The 27,784-nt window shown below is 38.6% G+C and overlaps 1 protein-coding gene across 16 annotated transcripts in view, besides 2 other annotated features; it reads right to left on the bottom strand.

The window, feature by feature from the left end:
* RNF17 (ring finger protein 17) overlaps positions 1–27,784 on the bottom strand; it is a 140,815-nt gene that overhangs the window by 64,742 nt on the left and 48,289 nt on the right. For all 16 annotated transcript variants that reach the window (XM_011535156.3, XM_011535152.3, XM_011535158.3 and 13 more), the window contains 5 exons: positions 27,545–27,703; positions 24,256–24,445; positions 23,306–23,474; positions 21,269–21,459; positions 19,411–19,552 (listed from right to left, as the gene is read on the bottom strand). In XM_011535156.3, the coding sequence (XP_011533458.1) occupies positions 19,411–19,552; positions 21,269–21,459; positions 23,306–23,474; positions 24,256–24,445; positions 27,545–27,703 (851 nt within the window). The remainder of the gene's footprint in view (positions 1–19,410; positions 19,553–21,268; positions 21,460–23,305; positions 23,475–24,255; positions 24,446–27,544; positions 27,704–27,784) is intronic.
* Positions 235–529: an enhancer, noted in NCBI's record as "tiled region #11275; HepG2 Activating DNase matched - State 9:DNaseU". NCBI's record gives its function as "activates a minimal TATA promoter and a strong SV40 promoter by Sharpr-MPRA in HepG2 cells {active_cell/tissue: HepG2}" and the evidence as "EXISTENCE:reporter gene assay evidence [ECO:0000049][PMID:27701403]".
* Positions 235–529: a silencer, noted in NCBI's record as "tiled region #11275; K562 Repressive non-DNase unmatched - State 24:Quies". NCBI's record gives its function as "represses a minimal TATA promoter and a strong SV40 promoter by Sharpr-MPRA in K562 cells {active_cell/tissue: K562}" and the evidence as "EXISTENCE:reporter gene assay evidence [ECO:0000049][PMID:27701403]".

Genomic DNA, 27,784 nt, shown 5'->3' with positions numbered 1-27,784 from the left:
CTTGGAAGGAAGAGTTTATGAGTAGAAACATACAATAGACCATCTAAGGCCAGGAGGAGAATCTGGGGTGAGAATCTTTACGAAATTAGGACATTCAAAAGCAGTCATATATATGGTAGAGTTTACAAAGCCACATGTCTGCCCTGACAAGATGCATGCCCAGAAAAGAAATAAAAAGACTTTAACTATGACCTCAGGCTGATTCCTAGGCTCAGCCTCTCTAAATGGTGAAGAAGTGCCCACCAAAGAGCTAGTCCACAAAGTCTAGGAAAGATGGCGCCTTCCTCTTTCTCTGTCTCTTCTTTGTTTCAGCTCCTGACATTCAAGGAACTCTGTCAATCATTAGCTGAGTACAAGCCAAAGAAACAACAGACTTCAGTGATCATACATGACAAGGAATGGTCTTTGAAACAGTTTGGAAAAGTACCAAAACAAATGAACTACTACAGCTTTTAAAACAACTCTCTTGGCCGGGCGTGGTGGCTCACACCTGTAATCCCAGCACTTTGGGAAGCTGAGGCGGGCAGATCATGAGGTCAGGAGTTCAAGACCAGCCTGGCCAACATGGTGAGACTCTGTCTTTACTAAAAATACAAAAATTACTCAGGTGTGGTGGCAGGCGCCTGTAATCCCAGCTATTCAGGAGGCTGAGGCAGGAGAATTGCTTGAACCTGGGAGGTGGAGGTTGCAGGGAGCTGACATCATGCCATTGCACTCCAGTGTGGGTGACAGAGCCAGACTCCGTTTTTTTTTCTTTTAAAAAAAGAACACAACTCTCTTAATCCCAAACAAGAGCTATGGGAGTTCATCACCACTATACCTGCCTTACAAGAAATTCTATGAGTTCTTAAAGTTGAAATGAAAGGACATTAACATGAAAACATACGAAAGTATGAAACTAACTGTAAAGATATGACACAAAGTGTCAAGAATTCCTGACCTCACTGAAAACCAGAAGTAAGCAGTAATCCTGAAAAGGGACTGAATAGGGCTTGCAGGTACTGACTGATATCAGAAGTTTCTGTGTCACAGCATCAGGGACCTCTGTCATTTCATTTTATATTCACGACCCTTTAGGTTTCGTTTCATATTGACACAGGAGTTAAAAAGAAATTACTGAGACTGGGTGCAGTGGCTGATGCCTAAAATCCCAGCACTTTGGGAGGCCAAGCGGGTGGATCACCTGAGGTCAGAAGTTCGAGACCAGCCAGGCCAACATGGCGAAACCCCATCTCTACTAAAAATACAACATTAGTCAGGTGTGGTGGTGCATGCAAGTAATCCCAGCTACTTGGGAGGCTGAGCCAGAAGAATTGCTTGAACCTGGGAGGTGCACGTTGCAGTCAGCCAAGATCATGCCACTGCACTCTAGCCAGGGGCACACAGTGAGACTCCATCTCAAAAAAAAAACAAAAACAAAAAAAAGAAATTACTTAGGCAGAGAGTGAGAATACAGGAAGGAGTCCTCGGCAAGGTTTTCCTTTTCAGTGAAAAGCAGCCCCCAAATCATTTTCTAACAAAGAGTAGCCTATAAAATTGAGCTGCAGACACAGATGCCGGCAGTTGCGCCAATCCTGTTCAAAATGGCGGCTCCATCCTCCCTTCTCGCCTTGCCAGCCACATGTACAGTAAGAAGCACACAGGATGGTGCCAGTCAAGTAGAAAGCCCATTTGCATAATAAGATTAGGGTGGGGTGGCCAGCCTTTCTGGCGTGCTATGTAAACATCAAACCTGACTGAACCAATCTGTGGGCCCTATGTAATCAGACACCACCTCCTTAAACCTGCCTACAAAATCCGGCACATCCACCTCCAGCCAGTCTTTCCCTTTCAGAAGCCCCTTTCTCTCACTAGAGACAGAGCTGTTCTCCTTTCTCTTTCTTCTGCATATTAAACCGCCACTCCTAAACTCCTCATGTGTGTCCGTGTCCTTAACTTTCTTCGTGCGAGATGACAAAGAAACGGCTTCATTATTTTCTGAAATTATTTTAATAATTATGCAGACATGTGCAACCAGAAAAAAAATGCAAATCAAAAATACTCAACTGTCTTAAATATGTTAAAAGGGTTAAGGGAAAACAAAGAACTAAAGAAAATTCGGAAAATGATGTATGAATAAAATGGGAATATCAGCAAGTGATACAAATTATAAAAAGGAAATTCTGGAGCTCAAAAGTATAATAACTAAGGAGAAAAAATTCAATAGAGGGGTTCAAAAGCAGCATTGAGTGGAAAGAAGAAAAATAATCAGTGAACTTGAAGATAGGAAAATTTAAATATCGAGTCTGAGAAGCAGAAAGAAAAAAGAATGGAGAGAAGTAAACAGAGCCTAAGGGGCTCAAGTGAACCAACAGAGACATTATGAAAGTCATAGAAGGAAGAGAGAGACAAAGAGGCAAAAAATTATTTTTAAAAATGGTAGAAGTCCCCAATTTAAAGAAAGACATGAACCTACAAATCCAAGAAGTCTAATGTTAGGAGTTGATTTGTATCTTCCCCCAAAGATATGTTGGAGAGCTATAATCTCCAGTATCTCAAATATGACCTAATTTCGATACAGGTTCTTTATAATCATGTTAAAATGAGGTCATTAGGATGGGCCCTAATTCAGTATGATCAATGTCTTTATAAAAACGGCAAAATTTGGGTACAGACAAATATACAAGGAGAACTCCATGTGAAGATGAAGGGAGAGATCAGGGTGATGCAGCAAAGGCAAAGGTGCACAAAAGATTGCCAGCAAGCCACCAAAATCTAAAGCAGAGAGGTGAAATGGATTTTCCCTCAAACCCCTCAGAAGAAATCAACTCTTCTGACAAACTGATCTCATACTTCTAGACTCCAAAACTGTTGACAATAAATTCTGTTGTTTAAGCTGCCCAATTAACAGTAATTTGTTACACCAGCTCCAGGGAACTAAGACACTATTAGACTCCAAATAGGATAAACCCAAAGAATCATACACCAAGACACATAATCAAACTCTAAAAAGGCAAAGCCAAAGAGAAAATCTGGGAAGCAGCAAAAGAGATGCAACATGTCATATACAAAGAGACTCAAGAAGATTATAAGTCAGTTTCTCATATTAGAAATCTTGGAGGCCAGGCTGGGCGTGGTGGCCTACGACTGTAATCCCAGCACTTTGGGGAGGCCAAGGGGGGTGATCACTTGAGGTCAGGAGCTTGAGATCAGCCTGGCCAACATAGCCAAAAGCTATCTCTACTAAAAATACAAAAATTAGCCGGGCGTGGTGGTGGGCACCTGTAGTCCCAGCTACTCAAGAGGCTGACGCAGAAGAATTGCTTGAACCCGGGAGGCAGAGGTTGCCGTGAGCCAAGATCGCACCACTGTACTCCAACCTGGGTGACAGAGCAAAACTCCATCTCAAAAATAAAAACAAAACAAAACAAAACAAAAAGGCCAGGTGCGGTGGCTCATGCCTGTAATCCCAGCACTTTGGGAGGCCAAGGCAGGCAGATCATCTGAGGTCAGGAGTTCTAGACCAGCCTGGCCAACATGGTGAAACCCCATCTCTACTAAAAATATAAAAATTAGCCAGGCATCGTGGTGCACACCTGAAATCCCAGCTACTAGGGAGGCTGGGGCAGGACAATCGCTTGAACCCAGGAGGCAGAGACTGCAGTGAGCAGAGATCGTGCCACTGCCTCCAGCCTGGGCAAGAGAGCAAGACTCTTGTCTCAAAAAAAAAAAAAAAAAAGAAAAAAGAAAAAAGAGACAAGAAAGAAATTTTGGAAGCCAGAAGGAAATGGGAAGACAGAGATATATATGATGTACTAAAGAAAAACACAACCTGTCAACTGAAAATTATACATTTGGCAAAACTAACCTTCAAAAACGTGAGAAAAATTAAGACAGTCCTAGGTAAACAAGGGCTGAGGGACTCTATTACCACTAGATCTGCCCTGTAAGAAATGCTAATGGAAGTCCTTCAGGTTGCAATGAGAGGACACTAGACAGTACCTCAAAGTCACATGAGGATATTAAGATCTCTGGTGAAGGTAAATACATGGGTAAATGGGAAAGTCAGTATTATTGCAATTTTGGTTTATAATTCTACTTTTTTATTTTCTACAGGATTTAAAAGACAAATGCATAAATAATTACAAATCTATGTTATTGAGCACACAGTATAGAGATTAATTTGTGACATCAAAAATACTGGAAAAAGAGAGCTGCAGAGAAGTAGTTTTTTGTGAAGTTAAAATTATGTTGGTATTAACTCATATTGGATTGTTATAACTTTAGGATGTTATATGTAATCTCCATGGTAATGATAAAAAATAATCTACAAGATAAACACAAAAAGGAAACAAGAAGGGAAGCAAAACCTGATACTATAATATTTGCATTTCCATGTTCATTACAGCAGACAATCCAAATGTCCACTGACAAATGAAGGGATTTTTAAAATGCAGTATATACATACAAAGAAGTATTATTCAGCCTTAAAATAGGAAATCCTATCAATGCTTACAACATGGATGAATCTTTAGGACATTATTATAAGTAAAATAAGCCAGTCACAGAAAGACAAATTCTGTCTGAGACCACTTATACAAGGTATCTAACATAGTAAAATTCATAAAAATGCAGAAGTAATATTGTGCTGGCCAGAGGTTGGAAGCAGGGAGAAATGTGCTGTTGTTTAACGAGTATAGTTTCAGTTTGCAAGATGAAAATGTTCTAGAAATCTATTGCATGGTAATACGAATATGGTTAACACTACTGAAGTTACACTAAAAAATGGTTAAGATAATAAATTCTGTGTGTTTTTTAACACAATTACAAAAGAGATTTTAAAAAATACATCATACTAAAAAGAAAAAAGCAACTAAACACAAAAGAGGGCTCTAATGGAGGAAAGAAGGAATAAAAGTGTGATAAGATACAGAAAACAGCAAATGGCAGAAGTCTTTCCTTATCAGTAATTACTTTAAATGTAAATGTATTAAACTCTCCAATTAAAAGACAAAGATTGGCAGAATTAATTAAAAAAAAACATGATCCAACTATATGCTGTCCACAAGAGATACACTTTATACCTTATGCTATACACAGGTTGAAAGTCAAAGGATGGAAGAAAATACTCCATGCAAATAGTAATCAAGAGAGATCTGAGATGGCTTTACTGGTGGTATCAGGCAAAACAGACTTTAAATAAAAAATTCTTACAAGAGAGAAAGGACATTATAAATTGATAAAAAGGCCAATTCACCAGTAAGATATAACAATTATAAGCAATTATGCAGTACACATCAAAGACCCAAATATATGAAGCAAACATTGACAGAATTGAAGGAAAAAATAGACAGTTCAATAATAAAAATAGAAGGCTTTAATATTCCACTTTCAATAGTGCATAAAACATCCAGACAGAGTATCAATAAGGAAACAGAAGACTTGAATAACACTGTAAACCAACAGGTCCTAACAGACATACACAAAACACTCTAGCCAATAGTAAAATATACCTTTTCTTTTTTTTTCCTACAAGGCCACTTAGAACATTCTCAGAATAGACCATATGTTAGGCTGCAAAATGTCTTAATACATTTCAAAAAATTGAAATCATAAAATGTATTTGTCTCTATGACAATGAAAGGAAACTGGAAATCAAAAACGAGAAAAACTGCAAAATTCAAATATGTAGAAACTAAACACCACAAACTACCAACAGGTCAAAGAAGAAATCCTAAGAGAAATTAGAAAATGCTTCAAGACAAAGGAATATGAAAACAAAACATACCAAACTCATGAGATGCAATAAAACAGTGCTAAGAGGGAAATTTATAGCTATATACACAATTTTAAAATATTGCAAATTAAGAACCTAACTATATACCATAAGACAACAGAAAAAGAGAAAATTACCCAAAAGTAGCAGAAGAAATAATAAAGATTAGAGCAAAAATAAATGAGACAGGATAAAGAAACAGAACATCAATAAAGCCAAAAGTTGATTATTTGAAAAGATCAGCAAAATTGACAAATCTTTAGCTAGAATAACTAGAAAAGAAAGAGAAGTCTGAAGTTAATAAAATCAGAAATAAAAGTGCAGACAATACTACCAATTTTAAGAAAAAAAAAATTTTTTTTTTTTTTGAGATGAAGTCTTGCTGTCACCCAGGCTGGAATGCAGTGGCACACTCTCAGCTCACTGCAACTTCTGCCTCCTGGGTTCAAGCAATTCTCCTGCCTCAGCCTCCCGAGTAGCTGGGACTACAGGTGCCCACCACCACAGCTGGCTAATTTTTGTATTTTTAGTACAGATGGGGTTTTGACATGTTGGCCAGGCTGGTCTCAAACTCCTGACCTCAAGTGATCCACCTGGCTCGGCCTTCCAAAGTACTGAGATAACAGGTGTGAGCCACCATGCCCGGCCAAGAAGTAAAAAATTGTAAGAGATTATTGAAGACAATTGTATGCCAACAAACTGGATAACCTACATGAAATGGACAAATTCCTAGAAACACACAACCTTCCAAGACTGACTCATGAATCAGAAAATCCGAGTAGACTTATAACTAGTAAAGAGGTTCAAACAGGATTCAAAAACCTCCTACACATGAAAAGCCCTGGACCAGATAGATTCACTGCTGAATTCTACCAAACATTTAAAGAAGAATTAACACCATTCCATCTCAAATTCTTCCAAAAAACAAAAAGATGGAGGAATACTAACTCTAAGAGGCTGCATTACCCTGATAACAAAGCTATATGAAGACACTATAAGAAAATTACAGATCAATATCCCTTGCAATACTGATGCAAATATCCTCAATGAAATACTAATAAACCAAATTCAGCATATTAAAAGATTTTGTTTTCTTCTAACTTGGTCTTCGGGTCTCTCTCTGGAGAGTGGCCAGGAACTCTAGCTCTGCCCCGACAAGGCTCTAGAGGAGGTGGTCACTGATGTTTACAGTAAATCAAAAGAGGATACTTCTTTATCTTGGTGAATGGGACAATGCCTTCTTGCCTGACCTGTGGCCAAGTGTATGTCTCACAGGAAACTTGTTTATACTAGCAGATGCCCTCGTGGTTCTTGTCCGACCTGTGTCCAGTTTATTCCTGCCAAGATAGCCACTCTCCAGGAGTGCTGACTGGGAGGAAAGTTAGGTATGTGTATGTCAGTCAGGTGAGACACAGAGGCAGCAAAACAAAACACATGAAATAAAAGCAGCATTTTGTTAATCACAGATAAGAGTGAATCTGTGGAACTCTGCCTTTATTAAGGTCCACAGGCATTACCTCTTAAGGCTTTCCAGCAGGGGTTGTGAACTGGCTAATTTAAAGAAAATATGTGTAAAGGGGGGAAATTATTTGCATGACTCTGGTGTTGATTCTGGTTTTATTGTGGTAAGCAGCTATGGGATATGTTGGGTCAGTGAGATGTAGAACAAGTGACCCACACTGCAAACAGCCACATGGGGAGGGAAAGTTTTAACTAGGCCAAAGATGAGGTGGTATAACTCAGTTTTAAACAACTTATGTTAGGCCTAAAAATGGATGCCAAGGCAACAATGATGTTAAACAAATTTATGATAAAAAGATTATACACCTTTATCTAGTGGGATTTATTTTTAAAATGCAAGGATAATGACATATGAAAATCAATGCAGCAGGCGCAGTGGCCCACGGCTGTACTCCCAGCACTTTGGGAGGGTAAGGTGAAAGGATCACTTCAGCTCAGGAGTTTGAGACCAGCCTGTGTAACATAGTGAGACCTCATTTCTAAAATAAAAAAATTGTAAAAATTAGCCTGGTGTGGTGGTGTGCACCTTTGGTCCCAGCAACTCAGAAGGCTGAGGCGGGAGGACTGCTTGAGTCTGGGAGGCAAATGTTGCCGTGAGCTGAGATCATGCTACTGCATTCCAGCCTGGGCAACTGAGGGAGACCCTGTCTCCAAACAAACCAACAAGGAAACAAAACAAAATCCAAAATCAATGTAATACACCACATTGACAGGATGAAGGAGAAAAGACCAAAACATGATCATCTCAATTGTTGCAAAAAAGAATTTGAAAAATTGAACACCCTTTCTTGACAAAAACACTCAATAAACAAGAGACAGAAGGAAACTTACTCAACATGGTAAAGGTCATTTGGGAAAAACTCACAGATAATATCATACTCAATGGTCAAAGACAAACGCTTTTCCCTTAAGACAGGAATAAGACAAGGAAGCCTGCTTCTTCATCTTGTATTCAACATGATATTGGAAATCCTAGCCAGAGGCATTAGGTAAAAAGACAAAAGGCATCCAAATCAGAAAGGAAAAAGTATAAATATCTCTGTTCATGGATGACATGATCTTCTATGTAAGAAAATCCCCCCAAATTATACACACACACACACACACACACACACACACACACACACACACACACCCCGTTAGGGCTACCAAATTAATTCAGCAAAGTTGCTAGACACAAAATTCACATGTAAAAATCAGTTGTGTTTTAATACATTAGTAAATGAGCAAATTGAAGAGGAAATTTAAAAAAGCAATTCCGTTTACAACAACATCTAAAAGAATTAAGAATAAACTTGAGCAAATGGGCCAAAAATTGTTATGCTGAAAACCACACAAAACTGTTGAAAGATATTAAATAAGATCTAACTAAATGAAAAAAATCCGGTGTTCATGGATAAGATGACTTAAAATTGTTAAGATGTCAATGCTATCCAAAGTGATTTACAATTCAATGTAATCCCTGTTAAAATCCCAATGACATTTCTCTGTTCATAGATGACATGATCTTATACATGAGAAAATGCCCCCAAATTACATACACACACCTTCTCTCTCTCTCACTTGTTAAAACAAATTAATTCAGCAAAGCTGCTAGACACAAAATTCACATGTAAAAATCAGTTGAGTTTCAATACATTAGCAAATGATAATATCATACTCAATATCATACTATATTTCTTGGGGAAACAGAAAAACCCATCCTAAAAGTCACATGGAATCTTAAGAGACACTGAATAACCAAAACAATCTTGAAAAAGAACAAAGTTGGAAGACTCACACGTTTTGATTTCAAAAGTTACAACACAACTACAGTAATCAAAACAGTGTGGTACTGACATAAGGACAGATACACAGACAAATGGAACAAAATAGAAAGTCCAGAAATAAACTTTCACTTTTAACAAGGGTGCCAAGACCATTCAATGGGGGAAAAGACAGTGTTTTCAACAAATAGTGCTGGAAAAACTGAATATCCAATTCAAAATAATGAAGCTGGGCCCTTACCTTATACTTTGTACAAAATTAACTCAAAATGAATCAAAGATCTAAACCTATAAAACTCTTAGAAGAAAGCATAGGGAAGAAGCATCATGATGTCAGATTTGATAATGTTATCTTGGATATGACACCAAAAGCACAAGCAACAAAAGAAACAATAATTAAATTGGCCTTCATAAAATTAAAAACTTTTGTGGAACAAAGGACACTATCAAGAAAGTGAAAAGACAACCCACAAAATGGGAGAAAATACAGCCAGCCTTGGAACACGCCTTTGAACTACGCAGTTCCAATTATGTGCAAATTTTTTTCCACCTCTGCCAGACCTGAGACAGCAAGACCAACTTCTGCTCTTCCTCAGCCTATTCAACATGAAGGTGATGGGCATGAAGACTTGTATAATGATCCACGTTCAGTTAATGAATAGTAAATATATTTTCTCTTTATGATTTTTAATAACACTTTTTCTCTAGCTTACTTTAAGAATGCAGTATTGAATACATATACAAAATATATGTTAGCTGTTTATATATTATTAAGGCTTCTAATCAACAGTAGGCTATTAGTAGTTAAGTTTTGTGGAAATCAAAAGATAAACGCAGACTGAGTGTCGAGGCTCATGCCTGTAATTTCAGCACTTTGGGAGGCTGAGGCAGGAGGACTGTTTGGGACCAGGAGTTCAAAACCAACCTGGGCAACACAGCAAGAACCTGTCTCTAAAAAAAAAAAAAAAAAAAAAAAAAAAAAAAAAAAAAAAAAAAAAAAAAAATTAGCGAGCTGTGCTGCATGCCTGCAGTTCTAGCTACTTGGGAGGCTGAGACAGGAAACCACTTCAGTCCAGGAGTTCCAGGCTGCAGTAAGCTATGATCTTGCCACTGCACTCCAGCCTAAGCAACAGTGCTGGACCTTGTCTCAAGAAAAGAAAAAAAAAAGTAGTTACACGCAAATATTTGACTACACGGGGGTTGGTATCCACCACTACCACTTGTTCAACGATCAACTGCATTTGTAAGTCATATATCTCATAAGAATTTAGTATCTAGAATACATGAAAACTCCTACAATCCAACAACAAAATAAACAACCCAATTACAAAAATGGACAAAGGTTTGGGCATGGTGAATCATGCTTGTAATACCAGCACTTTGGGAGGCCAAGGTGGGAGGATCACTCTAGCCCAGGAGTTCAAGGCCAGCCTGGATTACCTAGCAAGACCCTGTGTCTACAAAATAATAATTAGACAGGTGTGGTGGTATGTGCCTGTAGTACTAGCAATATGGGAGGCTGAGGCTAGAGGATCCCTTGAGCCTAGGAGATTGAGGCTGCAGTGAGCTTACAATCATGCCACTGCATTCTAGCCTGGGCAACAGAGTGAAGCCCTGTGTTTAAAAAATAAAAAACAAATAAAAAGTTTTAAACATTTAAAAAAATAAATGGATGACTGGAATGGCTATTTCTTCAAAGATATACAAATGGCCAATAAATAAGGACATGTAAAGATGTTCAGTATCACTGGCCATTAGGGAAATGCAGATCAAAATCACAAAGTGATACCATTTCACACTTATTAAGAATGCTATTGGCCGGGCGCGGTGGCTCACGCCTGTAATCCCAGCACTTAGGGAGGTCGAGGCGGGTGGATCACAAAGTCAGGAGATCAAGACCATCCTGGCTAACACAGTGAAACCCTGTCCCTGCTAAAAAATACAAAAAATTAGCCAGGCGTGGTGGCAGGCACCCGTAGTCCCAGCTACTTGGGAGGCTGAGGCATGAGAATGGCGTGAACCCAGGAGGCAGAGCTTGCAGTGAGCCAAGATCCTGCCACTACACTCCAGCCTGGGCGACAGAGCGAGACTGCGTCTCAAAAAAAAAAAAAAAGGGGGTGGGGCGGGGAGGGGAGGAGCCAAGATGGCTGAATAGGAACAGCTCCGGTCTACAGCTCCCAGTGTCAACAACGCAGAAGACAGGTGATTTCTGCATTTCCATCTGAGGTACCGGGTTCATCTCACTAGGGAGTGCCAGACAGTGGGCGCAGGTCAGTGGGTGCATGCACCATGCGTGAGCCGAAGCAGGGCGAGGCATTGCCTCACTCGGGAAGCGCAAGGGGTCAGGGAGTTCCCTTTCCTAGTCAAAGAAAGGGGTGACAGACGGCACCTGGAAAATTGGGTCACTCCCACCCGAATACTGCACTTTTCCGACCGGCTTAAAAAATGGCGCGCCAGGAGATTATATCCCGCACATGGCTCAGAGTGTCCTACGCCCACGGAGTCTCGCTGACTGCTAGCACAGCAGTCTGAGATCAAACTGCAAGGCGGCAGCGAGGCTGGGGGAGGGGCGCCCGCCATTGCCCAGGCTTGCTTAGGTAAACAAAGCAGCCAGGAAGCTCGAACTGGGTGGAGCCCACCACAGCTCAAGGAGACGTGCCTGCCTCTATAGGCTCCACCTCTGGGGGCAGGGCACAGACAAACAAAAAGACAGCAGTAACCTCTGCAGACTTAAACGTCCCTGTCTGACAGCTTTGAAGAGAGCAGTGGTTCTCCCAGCACGCAGCTGGAGATCTGAGAATGGGCAGACTGCCTCCTCAAGTGGGTCCCTGACCCCTGACCCCCGAGCAGCCTAACTGGGAGGCACCCCCCAGCAGGGGTAGACTGACACCTCACACGGCCGGGTACTCCAACAGACCTGCAGCTGAGGGTCCTGTCTGTATGAAGGAAAACTAACAAACAGAAAGGACATCCACACCAAAAACCCATCTGTACATCACCATCATCAAAGACCAAAAGTAGATAAAACCACAAAGATGGGGAAAAAACAGAGCAGAAAAACTGGAAACTCTAAAAAGCAGAGCGCCTCTCCTCCTCCAAAGGAGTAGAGTTCCTCACCAGCAACAGAACAAAGCGGGACGGAGAATGACTTTGACGACCTGAGAGAAGAAGGCTTCAGACGATCAAATTACTCCGAGCTACGGGAGGACATTCAAACCAAAGGCAAAGAAGTTGAAAACTTTGAAAAAAATTTAGAAGAATGTATAACTAGAATAACCAATACAGAGAAGTGCTTAAAGGAGCTGATGGAGCTGAAAACCAAGGCTCAAGAACTACGTGAAGAATACAGAAGCCTCAGCAGCCGATGCGATCAACTGGAAGAAAGGGTATCAGCGATGGAAGATGAAATGAATGAAATGAAGCGAGAAGGGAAGTTTAGAGAAAAAAGAATAAAAAGAAATGAACAAAGCCTCCAAGAAATATGGGACTATGTGAAAAGACCAAATCTATGTCTGATTGGTGTACCTGAAAGTGACGGGGAGAATGGAACCAAGTTGGAAAACACTCTGCAGGATATTATCCAGGAGAACTTCCCCAATCTAGCAAGGCAGGCCAACATTCAGATTCAGGAAATACAGAGAACGCCACAAAGATACTCCTCGAGAAGAGCAACTCCAAGACACATAATTGTCAGATTCACCAAAGTGGAAATGAAGGAAAAAATGTTAAGAGCAGCCAGAGAGAAAGGTCGGGTTACCCTCAAAGGGAAGCCCCTCAGACTAACAGTGGATCTCTCGGCAGAAACTCTACAAGCCAGAAGAGAGTGGGGGCCAATATTCAACATTCTTAAAGAAAAGAATTTTCAACCCAGAATTTCATATCCAGCCAAACTAAGCTTCATAAGTGAAGGAGAAATAAAATACTTTCCAGACAAGCAAATGCTGAGAGATTTTGTCACCACCAGGCCTGCCCTAAAAGAGCTCCTGAAGGAAGCGCTAAACATGGAAAGGAACAACCGGTACCAGCTGCTGCAAAATCATGCCAAAATGTAAAGACCATCGAGACTAGGAAGAAACTGCATCAACTAACGAGCAAAATAACCAGCTAACATCATAATGACAGGATCAAATTCACACATAACAATATTAACTTTAAATGTAAATGGACTAAGTGCTCCAATTAAAAGACACAGACTGGCAAACTGGATAAAGAGTCAAGACCCATCAGTGTGCTGTATTCAGGAAACTCATCTCATGTGCAGAGACACACATAGGCTCAAAATAAAAGGATGGAGGAAGATCTACCAAGCAAATGGAAAACAAAAAAAGGCAGGGGTTGCAATCCTAGTCTCTGATAAAACAGACTTTAAACCAACAAAGATCAAAAGAGACAAAGAAGGCCATTACATAATGGTAAAGGGATCAATTCAACAAGAGGAGCTAACTATCCTAAATATATATGCACCCAATACAGGAGCACCCAGATTCATAAAGCAAGTCCTGAGTGACCTACAAAGAGACTTAGACTCCCACACATTAATAGTGGGAGACTTTAACACCCCACTGTCAACATTAGACAGATCAACGAGACAGAAAGTCAACAAGGATACCCAGGAATTGAACTCAGCTCTGCACCAAGCGGATCTAATAGACATCTACAGAACTCTCCACCCCAAATCAACAGAATATACATTTTTTTCAGCACCACACCACACCTATTCCAAAATTGACCACATACTTGGAAGTAAAGCTCTCCTCAGCAAATGTAAAAGAACAGAAATTATAACAAACTATCTCTCAGATGACAGTGCAATCAAACTAGAACTCAGGATTAAGAATCTCACTCAAAACCGCTCAACTACATGGAAACTGAACAACCTGCTCCTGAATGACTACTGGGTACATAACGAAATGAAGGCAGAAATAAATATGTTCTTTGAAACCAACGAGAACAAAGACACAACATACCAGAATCTCTGGGACACATTCAAAGCAGTGTGTAGAGGGAAATTTATAGCACTAAATGCCCACAAGAGATAGCAGGAAAGATCCAAAATTGACACCCTAACATCACAATTTAAACAACTAGAAAAGCAAGAGCAAACACATTCGAAAGCTAGCAGAAGGCAAGAAATAACTAAAATCAGAGCAGAACTGAAGGAAATAGAGACACAAAAAACCCTTCAAAAAATTAATGAATCCAGGAGCTGGTTTTTTGAAAGGATCAACAAAATTGATAGACCGCTAGCAAGACTAACAAAGAAAAAAAGAGAGAAGAATCAAATAGACGCAATAAAAATGATAAAGGGGATATCACCACCGATCCCACAGAAATACAAACTACCATCAGAGAATACTACAAACACCTCTATGCAAATAAACTAGAAAATCTAGAAGAAATGGATAAATTCCTCGACACACTCTCCCAAGACTAAACCAGGAAGAAGTTGAATCTCTGAATAGACCAATAACAGGAGCTGAAATTGTGGCAATAATCAATAGCTTACCAACCAAAAAGAGTCCAGGACCAGATGGATTCACAGCCGAATTCTACCAGAGGTACAAGGAGGAACTGGTACCATTCCTTCTGAAACTATTCCAATCAATAGAAAAAGAGGGAATCCTCCCTAACTCATTTTATGAGGCCAGCATCATCCTGATACCAAAGCCGGGCAGAGACACAACCAAAAAAGAGAATTTTAGACCGATATCCTTGATGAACATTGATGCAAAAATCCTCAATAAAATACTGGCAAACCGAATCCAGCAGCACATCAAAAAGCTTACCCACCATGATTAAGTGGGCTTCATCCCTGGGATGCAAGGCTGGTTCAATATATGCAAATCAATAAATGTAATCCAGCATATAAACAGAACCAAAGACAAAAACCACATGATTATCTCAATAGATGCAGAAAAGGCCTTTGACAAAATTCAACAACCCTTCATGCTAAAAACTCTCAATAAATTAGGTATTGATGGGACGTATCTCAAAATAATAAGAGCTATCTATGACAAACCCACAGCCAATATCATACTGAATGGGCAAAAACTGGAAGCATTCCCTTTGAAAACTGGCACAAGACAGGGATGCCCTCTCTCACCACTCCTATTCAACATAGTGTTGGAAGTTCTGGCCAGGGCAATTAGGCAGGAGAAGGAAATAAAGGGTATTCAATTAGGAAAAGAGGAAGTCAAATTGTCCCTGTTTGCAGACGACATGATTGTATATCTAGAAAATCCCATTGTCTCAGCCCAAAATCTCCTTAAGCTGATATGCAACTTCAGCAAAGTCTCAGGATACAAAATCAATGTACAAAAATCACAAGCATTCTTATACACCAACAACAGACAAACAGAGAGCCAAATCATGAGTGAACTCCCATTCACAATTGCTTCAAAGAGAATAAAATACCTAGGAATCCAACTTACAAGGGATGTGAAGGACCTCTAAGGAGAACTACAAACCACTGCTCAAGGAAATAAAAGAGGATACAAACAAATGGAAGAACATTCCATGCTCATGGGCAGGAAGAATCAATATCCTGAAAATGGCCACACTGCCCAAGGTAATTTACAGATTCAATGCCATCCCCATCAAGCTACCAATGACTTTCTTCACAGAATTGGAAAAAACTACTTTAAAGTTCATATGGAACCAAAAAAGAGCCTGCATTGCCAAGTCAATCCTAAGCCAAAAGAACAAAGCTGGAGGCATCACACTACCTGACTTCAAACTATACTACAAGGCTACAGTAACCAAAACAGCATGGTACTGGTACCAAAACAGAGATATAGATCAATGGAACAGAACAGAGCCCTCAGAAATAACGCCGCATATCTACAAATATCTGATCTTTGACAAACCTGAGAAAAACAAGCAATGGGGAAAGGATTCCCTATTTAATAAATGGTGCTGGGAAAACTGGCTAGCCATATGTAGAAAGCTGAAACTGGATCCCTTCCTTACACCTTACACAAAAATCAATTCAAGATGGATTAAAGACTTAAACGTTAGACCTAAAACCATAAAAACCCTAGAAGAAAACCTAGGCATTAACATTCAGGACATAGGCATGGGCAAGGACTTCATGTCTAAAACACCAAAAGCAATGGCAACAAAAGACAAAATTGACAAATGGGATCTAATTAAACTAAAGAGCTTCTGCACAGCAAAAGAAACTACCATCAGAATGAACAGACAACCTACAAAATGGGAGAAAATTTTCGCAACCTACTCATCTGACAAAGGGCTAGTATCCAAAAACTACAATGAACTCAAACAAATTTACAAGAAAAAAACAACCCCATCAAAAAGTGGGCGAAGGCTATGAACAGACACTTCTCAAAAGAAGACATTTATGCAGCCAAAAGACACATGAAAAAATGCTCACCATCACTGGCCATCAGAGAAATGCAAATCAAAACCACAATGAGATACCATCTCACACCAGTTAGAATGGCAATCATTAAAAAGTCAGGAAACAACAGGTGCTGGAGAGGATGTGGAGAAATAGGAACACTTTTACACTGTTGGTGGGACTGTAAACTAGTTCAACCATTATGGAAGTCAGTGTGGCGATTCCTCAGGGATCTAGAACTAGAAATACCATTTGACCCAGCCATCCCATTACTGGATATATACCCAAAGGACTATAAATCATGCTGCTATAAAGACACATGCACACGTATGTTTATTGTGGCATTATTCATGATAGCAAAGACTTGGAACCAAGCCAAATGTCCAACAATGATAGACTGGATTAAGAAAATGTGGCACACATACACCATGGAATACTATGCAGCCATAAAAAATGATGAGTTCATGTCCTTTGTAGGGACATGGATGAAACTGGAAATCATCATTCTCAGTAAACTATCGCAAGAACAAAAAACCAAACACCGCATATTCTTACTCATAGGTGGGAATTGAACAATGAGAACACATGGACACAGGAAGGGGAACATCACACTCTGGGGACTGTTTTGGGGTGGGGGGAGGGGGGAGGGATAGCATTGGGAGATATACCTAATGCTAGATGACGAGTTAGTGGGTGCAGCGCACCAGCATGGCACATGTATACATATGTAACTAACCTGCACATTGTGCACATGTACCCTAAAACTTAAAGTATAATAATAATAAAAAAAGAACGCTATTATTCAAAAGAAGACATTGCTGTGACCAACAAACATATGAAAAACATGCTCATCATCACTGGTCATTAGAGAAATGCAAATCAAAACCACAATGAGATACCATCTCACACCAGTCAGAAAGGCGATCAGATGCTGGAGAGGATGTGGAGAAATAGGAATGCTTTTACATTGTTGGTGGGAGTGTAAATTAGTTCAACCGGTGTGGCAATTCCTCAAGGATCTAGAACCAGAAATCCATTTGACCCAGCAATCCCATTACTGGGTATATACCCAAAGGATTAGAAATCATTCTACTATAAAGACACTTACACACGTATGTTTATTGCAGCACTATTCACAATAGCAAAGAGTTGGAACCAACCCAAATGCCCATCAATGATAGACTGGATAAAGAAAATATGGCACATATACACCATGGAATACTATGCAGACATAAAAAAGAATGAGTCACATCCTTTGCAGGGACATTCTCAGCAAACTAACACAGGAACAGAAAACCAAACACTGCATGTTCTCAGTCATAAGTGGGAGTTAAACAATGAGAACACACAGACACAGGGAGGGGAATATCACACACTGGGGCCTGTTGTGGGGTGGGGACAAGAGGAGGGATAGCATTAGGAGAAATACCTAATGTAGATGATGGGGATGGGTGCAGCAAACCACCATGGCACATGTATACCTATGTAACAAACCTGCATGTTCTGCACATGTATCCCAGAACTTAAAGTATAATAATAAAAAAAAGAATGTTATTTAAAAAAGAAAAAAAAAACCAAGTGTTCATGAGGGTGTGGAGAAATTGGAACCTTGTGGATTGCTGGTAAGAATGTAAAACTGCAGCTGCTGTAGAAAACAGTTCGGCAGTTCCCCCAAAAAGTTAAACATAAAATTACCATATAATCCAGCAATCATTCCTAGGTATTATACATACCAGAGGAACTGAAAGCAGAGACCCAAATGGATACTTTCATGCCAGTGTCCATAGCAGCATTATTCACATAGGCCAAAAGGTGGAAACAATCCAAATGGCCATCAATAGATGAATGGATAAACAAAATGTAGTATATCCATACATGGAATATTATTCAGCCATATAAAGGAATGAAATTCTGATACATCCTACATAATAGGAACCTTGAAAACATTAAGTTGAAGTGAAAGAAGCCAGATACAAAAGGAAACATTGTATATGATTTCACTTAAGAGGTACCTAGAATAGGCAATTTCATAGAGACAGAAAGTAGAACAGAAGTTTATCAGGGACTAGGGGAGAAGAAATGGTATGTGATTGTTTAATAGGTACAGGGCTTTTGTTTGAGATAAATAAAAAGCTCTGGAAATGGATGCACAACACTTAATGGCCTTAATGGCACTGAATGGTACACTGAACAATTATTAAAAACTATAAAATTATATTATGTATATTTTACCATAAAAGACGCTGTAAAAAATCAACAAAAGAAATAAACGCAAATCCTAACTTAGATAAGGAGCTTCCACAACTCATTTGAGGAGCCACTACAGTGTGATGCAGTGCTTGAGACGACAAGTTCTGAAGCTTGGTCAATCCTGGTTCTACCCTTTCAGAGCTGTGTGATCTTGGGCAAGATGCTTCATCTCTGTGGTTAGGGTCTCCACATTCAAATGGAGACAACAGTGTCTTTCTCACAGGATTGTTGCAAAGATTAATGAGTTAATTCCCTTAAAGTCTTAAGGGCCTTATGATGAGTTAAATCATATAAAGCACCCAGAAATCAATAAGGATGAACTATTATTGTTACTATCTAAACACATCAGTCACACATCCAAAGTTCAATACGAAATGCCTTTAATCTGTGTCTATTTTGGTGTTCAAATTCAGAAAACACCTAATAATAATCGGTAAATTTTCAGAGGTACAGGTTAGAAAAAAATTTATTTTATCATTATATTTCTATTTGCTAACTCTATATGCTTTCCTAGTCTCCAGATTTCAGAAGGTAGCAAGAAACATTTATACATTAATTATCCTTCATTGTTCTTTCAATTTGTGATAAATCATATAAACTTGTTTGAAGTTGCAACTACTAAGAAATTTAAACGTATAGAAGGTTAACAGTGGTACGTTTGCTCTGACTAAAATTGACGGTAGATACTCATTCTTGTTATACATGTCTAATTAAAATTTTTTTAAAAACTTCATTTCAAAAACACATTATATACTTACCAACTGAAGATAGAAATCTCCAGGACTATTTATATGACAAACCGTTACTGAAACATCTGTCATTTCTTTAGGCAAAATAGGTGGATGATAGTGTAAAGTAGTATTTTTTTCAAAGTGACTTCTTAGTGATTGTGACTTAAACCTAATTAAAAGCATAATGAAAAGCGTAAGCAGGGTCTCACCCTGTCACCCAGGCTGGAGTGCAGTGGTGCTATCATGGCTCACTGCAGCCTCTACCCTTCTGGGCTCAAGCAATCCTCCCACCTCAGCCTCCCAAGTAGCTGGGACCACAGGGGCATGCCATCACACCTGGCTAATTTTTGTAGAGACAGGGTCTCCCTACATTGCCCAGGTTGACCCTGAACTCCTGGGCTCAGGCGACCCTACTGCCTTGGCCTCCCAAAGTGCTGGGATACAAGTGTAAGCCACCATACCTGGCCAAGCCATTTTCTTAGTCTCTTTTCTCTCAGTGACTTGATCTAAAGGAAGGACTTGTACATGTACTGACTTATTTACCAAAAGCGCTCATCTTCCAATTTCTTTCTTCTAACATTTCTTGGTATTGTCTTCAATTATCAAACCAGGTTAAATAAGATATCAAGTCTCAAAACTTTAGAGCTAGGCTTTCATGTCGTACTTAGATTCAAAGCTGCTTCTATTTTTTGTGTTACATTGATATCTGTGGTCTGTGTCAGCTGAAGGGTCTCTGTGGCTCCTTCCAGATCCAAGACTACTTGTATTTTTCTAGAATGGAACCTGCTTGGGTTCCATTCCCAATCACCCAAGGTAAAAATTAGAATCTTTGACTACCTCTATGGTTACTTAAGTCATCAGAAATGATGGACAGCCTAGGCACTGTGGCTCACGCCTGTAATCCCAGCACTTTGGAAGGCCAAGGTGGGCAGGAGTTCAAGACCAGCCTGGCCAACAAGGTGAAACCCTGTCTCTGCTAAAAATACAAAAATTAGCCGGGAGTGGTGGCGTGTGCCTGCAATTCCAGCTACTGGGAAGGCTGAGACATGAGAATCACCAGAACCTGGGGAGGCAGAGGTTTCAATGAGCTGAGGCTGTGCTACTGCACTCTAGCCTGGGTGATGGGATGAAGACTCTGTCTCAAACAAACAAAAAAGAAATGATGGACAAAGAAACTTTAAACATCTATTCTAGATTCATACATTGAATATAGGGTAGTGATCATGAACTCATTCCAAAGGCTACAAAATTGAGGAAAATTTAGGAACAGTTAAACTATAATTATTGAAATCCTCATACAGCTGCTAATAGTTATCAAGAGTCCAAAAGATGTTAGGTATTTATACATACTTTATATTTTGAGCTACCTTAATTTCTCTAATTTTTCTAATTTTCGTTTTTCTTTACAGACAGGGTGTCTCACTCTGTCACCCAACCTGGAGTACAGTGGCAAGAGCATAGCTCGAACTCCTGGGCTCAAGCAAACCTCCCACCTCAGCTCCTGACCTGAGAAGCTGGAACTACAGATGCATGCCACCACGCCTGGTTAATTTCTTTTTGTATTTCGTTGTAGAGACGAGGTCTAGCTATGTTGCCCAGCCTGGTCTCAAACTCATGACCCCAAGGAATCCTCCCTCCTCGGCCTCCCACAGTGCTAGAATTACAGTTGTGAGACGCCCTGCCCAGCCTATTTTCTTAAATCCAATTATCTGAATCCAGTTTTCACAGACAACAACTGTACTCAGAAAAGTCTAAGAGCAATATTTTTCACTTCTTCAGGTATGTTAAGGTTTACTTTACAGACATGGTTTTTAAAGGCAAAATCTGCTACTCTCATTTATAGCTATAATCTCAAAGAATATTTAAGTTTTAATAAGTTACTTACTTTGCTAGTTCCATAAAAACTAGCGCATCTCTAAGAGACACAGGCATATCACTGCTTATTTTATTCGGTGGTGGTTTTTGCAGATCTACAATAAGCACACCATCTTCTTCTCTAAAAACTTTCATTGAAACAGCCTTGTTATTTACCATTTTCAAAAATTCCACTTTAGCTTCCTCTTCCCAGCCTTCATTCTGTGCAAGAAAGTAAAATTCCATAGTAATTAATTGTAAGTATCGCTAATGTTACAATGTTCTGGATTTAGGTTTGTACCAACCACAGACGCAACTGCGAACAAACTGAACCAACCGCAGACATTAGGAAACAGCCAGGGCAGCCGGGCGTGGTGACTCACAAGGTCAGGAGTTCAAGACCAGCCTGGCCAAGATGGTGAAACCCTGTCTCTACAAAAAATACAAAAATTAGCGGGGCGTGGTGGCAGGTGCCTTTAATCCCAGCTACTCGGGAGGCTGAGGCAGGGGACTGCTTGAACCCGGGAGGCAGAGGTTGCAGTGAGCCGAGATCATGCCACTGCACTCCAGCCTGGGCGACAGAACAAGACTCCATCTCAAAAAAAAGAAGAAAGAAAAGAAAGAAAAATAGAAACAGCCAGGGCCACAAACTTAGGGGCAGTCTTTATGAATGTACAACGTGCATATACCTTCACTTTATAAATATATTCTCAAGGTTTTACTTTAGAATTTAGTTTCACTTTTGAATATTAATATGAAGGTTATAAAGAAAGATCTCAAAATGAAAGAAATAAGTATTCAATTTTCCACTTAGATGAAAATTCAAAAGGTAATTCTGAAAGTATAGGTATGCCTAAAATAAAATCTAAAAATTTACAATCATCAGTTAATCTAGCTTCCATTACTAGCAATGCATAAGATTTATGCTACTTAAGTGATTTAAAAAAAAATCCACCCACTGGGCAAACAATTTTTTCTTTTGAGACAGGGTCTTACTCTGTCACCCAGACTGGTGTGCAGTGGCATAATCTCAGCTCATGCAATCTCCGCCTCCCAAGCTCAAGAGATCCTTCCACCTCAGCCTTCATGGTGCACTACCACACCTGGCTAATTTTTGTATTTTTGGTAGACAGGGTCTCACCATGTTGCCCAGGCTGGTCTCAAACTCCTGAGCCGAAGCGGTCCTCCCATCTCGGCCTCCCAAAGTGCTGGAATTACAGCCTTGGGCCACCAAAACCAGCCAAAAAACTTTTTATGTTGATCTTTGAACATTTACGTAACATATTGAAAGTAAATTTCAGGATCAAAACCAGAAATTCCTTAAAAACAAAAAAAGAGAATAGCTTTCTGAAGTTTTTATGATTATAAATGTAAAATCTACTCAGTGTAAAAATGTGAAAAGTTAAAAAAGAGAAAATTAAAAACAAAACACTCATCATTTTAAAGAAAACACCAGTGCTGCTATTTTTGTGTTTCCTTTTTTTTAAATTAACTTATTTGTTATTTCAAGTATGTGTTGAATGCCTTCTATGTGGCATGTGATCTGCTAAATGCTGGGAATACAACGATGAGCAAAGACAGACTCCTCTGCTCTCATAGACCTTGTAAGAATACAACTGCTTAACATGTATTGTTACAATTTCTGTCTCTTAAGAGTTTACAATCTTGCTGGAGAATAGATTTTCATAAATAATACAAAACGCAGAATGCAATATGGCCATTAAATAGAATAATAAAGGGCAATGGAAATAAGAAAATACTGTAGAGAAACACACACATCATAAACTTATTTCTCTGTATAGTTGACTCCAAAATTACTGCTTTACTCAGATACTTAACCAATCATTATGTTAATATATGCTTATTCAACTCCATTTCCCATTAAAAATGTTTTCAATTGTGGAAGCCGAAGTTCATTTCCTTTTCTATTAGAACTAACAGTTTAATATGCACTATGTATTTATCAAGATTACTGGTTCCCTGAGCCTATACTTAGCAATCTAACTGGCAATACATAGCTAAAATTGTAATAACCTCTGAAGGAAAAAATAATTAAAGTCTCACTTACTGAATTCTGTGGAACAATGTCTTTCAATGAGCATGGTTGTGCTAATGGCTGGATGTCTTTTAGCAGCCCTTCAGTATATGGTTCAGATTTCCTTAGAACCAGACATAAATCATTTAGTGCAATATGTTGCTTAGCAGAGTGTTCTGGTCTCACATGGGTATCAACAACTCTAGGAGAAATTCAAGTAATATTTATTGAAAATAATGCTTCAAACTTAAATTTGTTTTCCCCCACAGAAGGTATGCATTTCTAAGTATAATTTTTCTTAAGTTACACCTTTTAGAAAGTTATAGTCCAAATTAATACTTTCTTACTATATAGACTTAGTTTAGCTTTTATAAGCAGAGACAGTTTTCCTCCACAGAAAGAAATCTCAGCTACATTTGCACTTTCACATACTCATGCAGTTTGAACTTAAAGGAGATAATGACACTTCCCCCCATATAAATCTACTTATTCATAAAGCTATAACCATTAAGTGATCATGCTATGGTTAATACTGGTCCTTACTACAGAAACATATCAGTTTGTATTATTTTCCTAGAAGACAGAGAAAACCATTTAAAATACCTACAGTGAGTTAGACAGTATGACACTTTGAAAAACATTAATGAAATTACAGAAGTCTGATTAAAAATTTAACTCAATCATCTGTTGCTAACTGTAACATTTAAAAGAATTAGTTTGTGTATTATTCCCTGCTTTAAAGTGACATAAGAAGAGTACTTAAGTTTGGAGTTCCTTTTCTAAGCTCTCCATCTAGTAATACTGGTAAATGATAAAGTTTTACTTATCAAGACAACAGTAGAGCAAAATAATAAAACGTATGTCTTGGAAGTTAAGAATGACAAATTACTCCTCTCTACCTCTAATTTCCTTTATTCTTTAACTCCACCTCCCTCCAAAATGTTTCTAAGCAGGCCAAGGATACATATTATAAAATATCATACCCAGTGACAATCAGGACTTCAGAATTTCCAAAATCTACCATGAATATTTGTATTAGTGCAACTTCATGGACAAATAATCTGGTTGGACTACAAGGTTTTCTGGTATTTCTACCCTCTATTGGAATTAATTCTGTGATAGTTCCTCGACACCACATTCCATTTTTAATACTGCTGACAAATATTCTTGCACCTAAATAATGAGGGAAACAAATCGTTATAAACATTTATCAATAAAAGCCACTTCATAAGTTTACAGACACGTTAGTTCTACCACGAAAAAGTCTTAATTCGTTTATTTAATGATGATATAGCACTGTGTTCAAGTGCTATAAGAAAGATATAATACAGCATATTATGATAGTTTGTTATACAGAAACAAGCTAAATAGGGAGATAAACACCTAAAGAATACTAAGTTAGCAGTCACTTAATGACAACCAGCTTATGAGCAATAAGAACAAAGATGAATGAGACTGTCTTGCCATCAAGAAGCTCAAGAAAGGAAGAGAGACAGGCAAATTAATTACCATAATTACACTGTACTTACAAGCAAGACCATCTGTCTTTGTGATGTACACATGTACACTGACATACACATATTAAAGTTTGTAATGAGAGAAGAAACAATTATCTTCTCTTTGTAAAGGGGAGTGAGAGTAAAACAATGAAAGGTAGCCTGTGAAATGCCAAAATTATTGGCACCCAGTGGTTTTCAGAGAAGAGGGAAGATGAACTAAAGACTTAGCTGTAGAGGAAGACCTTTGTAGGGACCAGTTGGATTACAAATTAACAACCAGGAAAAAAGAAGATCAAACAAACAAAAAAAAAGGCCCACAGGTGAATGCTTACTATGAGCTCAGAAATGTTCTGTGTTTTGTTTGAATTCACTTACTCCCCACAACAACCCTACGAAGGTACTGTTCCTATCATAGGTGAGGAAAACTAGGTAGAAAACCTAATCTAGCCCAACTCACATGGCTACTTAGAAGAAGTAGCAGGAGAACTCAGGTAGTCTTAGAGCCCATTTAAACTACATATTTTGGAAATGAATCTGGTAAATTCTGATCACTGATTATATACAGAGAGATGCTGTGTAATCTCCTCTGTATATGCTAATAACAACAGGATAGTTGAAAAGCACATTATAGGCAGCCTTTTAAGTCCTACCAAAACGTTTGATCTTCAGTTTGTCAGTGACCCTTCTCTTATTTTGCTACACTACTGTACCAACATTCTTAGTTTTAAAATATAGTAAATCCCCACTTAATGTCATTGATACATTCTTAGAAACTGTGACTTTAAGCAAAATGGCGTAACAAAACCAATCTTACCACATAGGCTAATTGATATAAACAAGAGTTAAGTTTCTACGTGTATTTCTGGTCACAAAAACATCATCAAACTTATAAAGACCCCAAACACTTCTAATATTAAATACTGAAACAAGTGTGAGCTAAATGTACATTTAAGAAAGATGAACAAGTAAGATATTTACTCAATTTTTGGTGAATCAGTGAGTGACGGCAGTCATAGTGGTAGTGGGTTAACTCAAAGAATTACAGCTTGCAAAGTGAGAATTGTAAGGAGTACCTCCTGGCACCACAGTTCAAAAACAATCATAAATAAGGTGGATTCACAGAGCGCTTTTGTACTGCATCATTTATTGTCATGTATTTGTATAGTTATCAAATACTTTATGAATTTTATGATAATATATATTTATTTATTCATTCTCCAACCCGCTTATTCTAGAGTCGAGGGTGGCTGAAGCCCATCCAGGCAGCTCAGGGCACAAGGCAGGAAACAATCCTGGTCAGAACACCATTCCATTGCAGGGTAAACACACACACACACACACACACACACACACACACACACACTCTTTGTCTCTCTCTCTCTCTCTCTCCCTGCCACTCAGACTGGGACAATGTAGACACACCAATTAACCTAACGTGTGCATCTTTAGGATGTGCGAGGAAACCAGAGTACCTGAAAAAACCCACACAGACACGGGGAGAATGTGCAAACTCAACACAGACATTTGCCCAAACCAGGAATTGATTTTTTTCTCATCAAAATTATAATGAGATAATGTTATTTGAAGACCTGCTGTATATATTCTATAAAACTATTCTTTCTTTCAATGGATAAAAGTCTGCTGAAGCCATTTACTGTTCTTCATGATGAAGTACAGAGGCAGGAAAAGGGAACAAGAGGATACTCTCCTCTGCTAAATCAACAATTCACATGTCTTCCCTTATCACTAATTTCTCAAAATATAAATGAGTGTTTTAATCAGCTGTATTTACTTTGCCAACATAATTATCATTAACAACTTAAAGCACAACTTTCTGGCTGTCTTAGAACATTTTCTGAAAATAAGCTATTTTTGGAATGTATTACATTTTAGACACATTATTTGCAACCACAAAAACTGAATTCAGTACTACACTTCCCTCCTCTTAGATACTAACAACCTAATGTTCCCAGCTCACATAGCATAAATGTTATTTTTTAAGTTTTAGAATTACTATTCATTTTTGTCAAAGTATATGATGATCCTACTCTTCTGATATTCTGAAAAGTTACACAGATGAGCTGAGAGTTAATCATACTTTTAAATGACAATCAAGACTAGACAGATAAACACTTTCTGTATTAGTTATATATAGGTATTGATTGCTACTAACATAATGAGAAAAATACTCTATTAATACAAATGAATCATAGCTTCCTCATATTACAAGGTACAATCAAATTCAGTCAACGTTATAAGAAAAATACTCGTAACAAAAGCCCGAAGCATGGCAAATTCACATATCCTCACAATTAAAAGACTGACTGAATTTACAATTATCCTCTGTAGGGCGCTGGGAATGGGTGCCACAGGCCTCCTGAATCTCAGGTGCTCAATGCTAGCCCCAACACTCACACATGGCGAGCAAGAGACTGGAGTTACACAAGAATCATCTTACAGGCACAGTTCTTCATGGAGACAAGGGGACAGGCTATATAATCTGTCATGGGTCTTGTAGTTTTAAAAGAAATTCGCCCTACTACATAATGGAGTTTCTGTACATATCTCACTCTAAAAAATGTGCCAACATTCCATCTTAATCCTTAGCTAATTTGCCTAAATAATTTATGTTAAATAATCCTAAAACTTTTATGCTTACTACAAATGAACTTAGAGCAAAAATCTATATTATAACAAGTCTTATGTGGGTTGGCCAAGTTATTATATTATTTAAATAAATTTGATATTTTAACTTGGACTAATATTTCATTACCTAGTTCCAAAATGTCTGAAGGATCAAGGTGTGAACTCCTATTGCAAAATTCATTCACCTTCTTCTCCAGTACTTTGGCGTCTTTTATTTGTGAATACTTCCGAATGTAGAAATGGCAAGGATCTATTACATGGCTTACAAAAACTAGCTCTGCAGAACCTGGATAAAAATGTTTAAGTCACATTAATAAACCATGAGTTAGAAAATAATTCATGAAAGCTGAACAACCATAATAGCCTC

This window comes from Homo sapiens, chromosome 13 (genome assembly GCF_000001405.40).
Source record: "Homo sapiens chromosome 13, GRCh38.p14 Primary Assembly".
NCBI lineage: Eukaryota > Metazoa > Chordata > Mammalia > Primates > Hominidae > Homo > Homo sapiens.
This window is presented reverse-complemented; position numbering and strand designations above follow the sequence as displayed.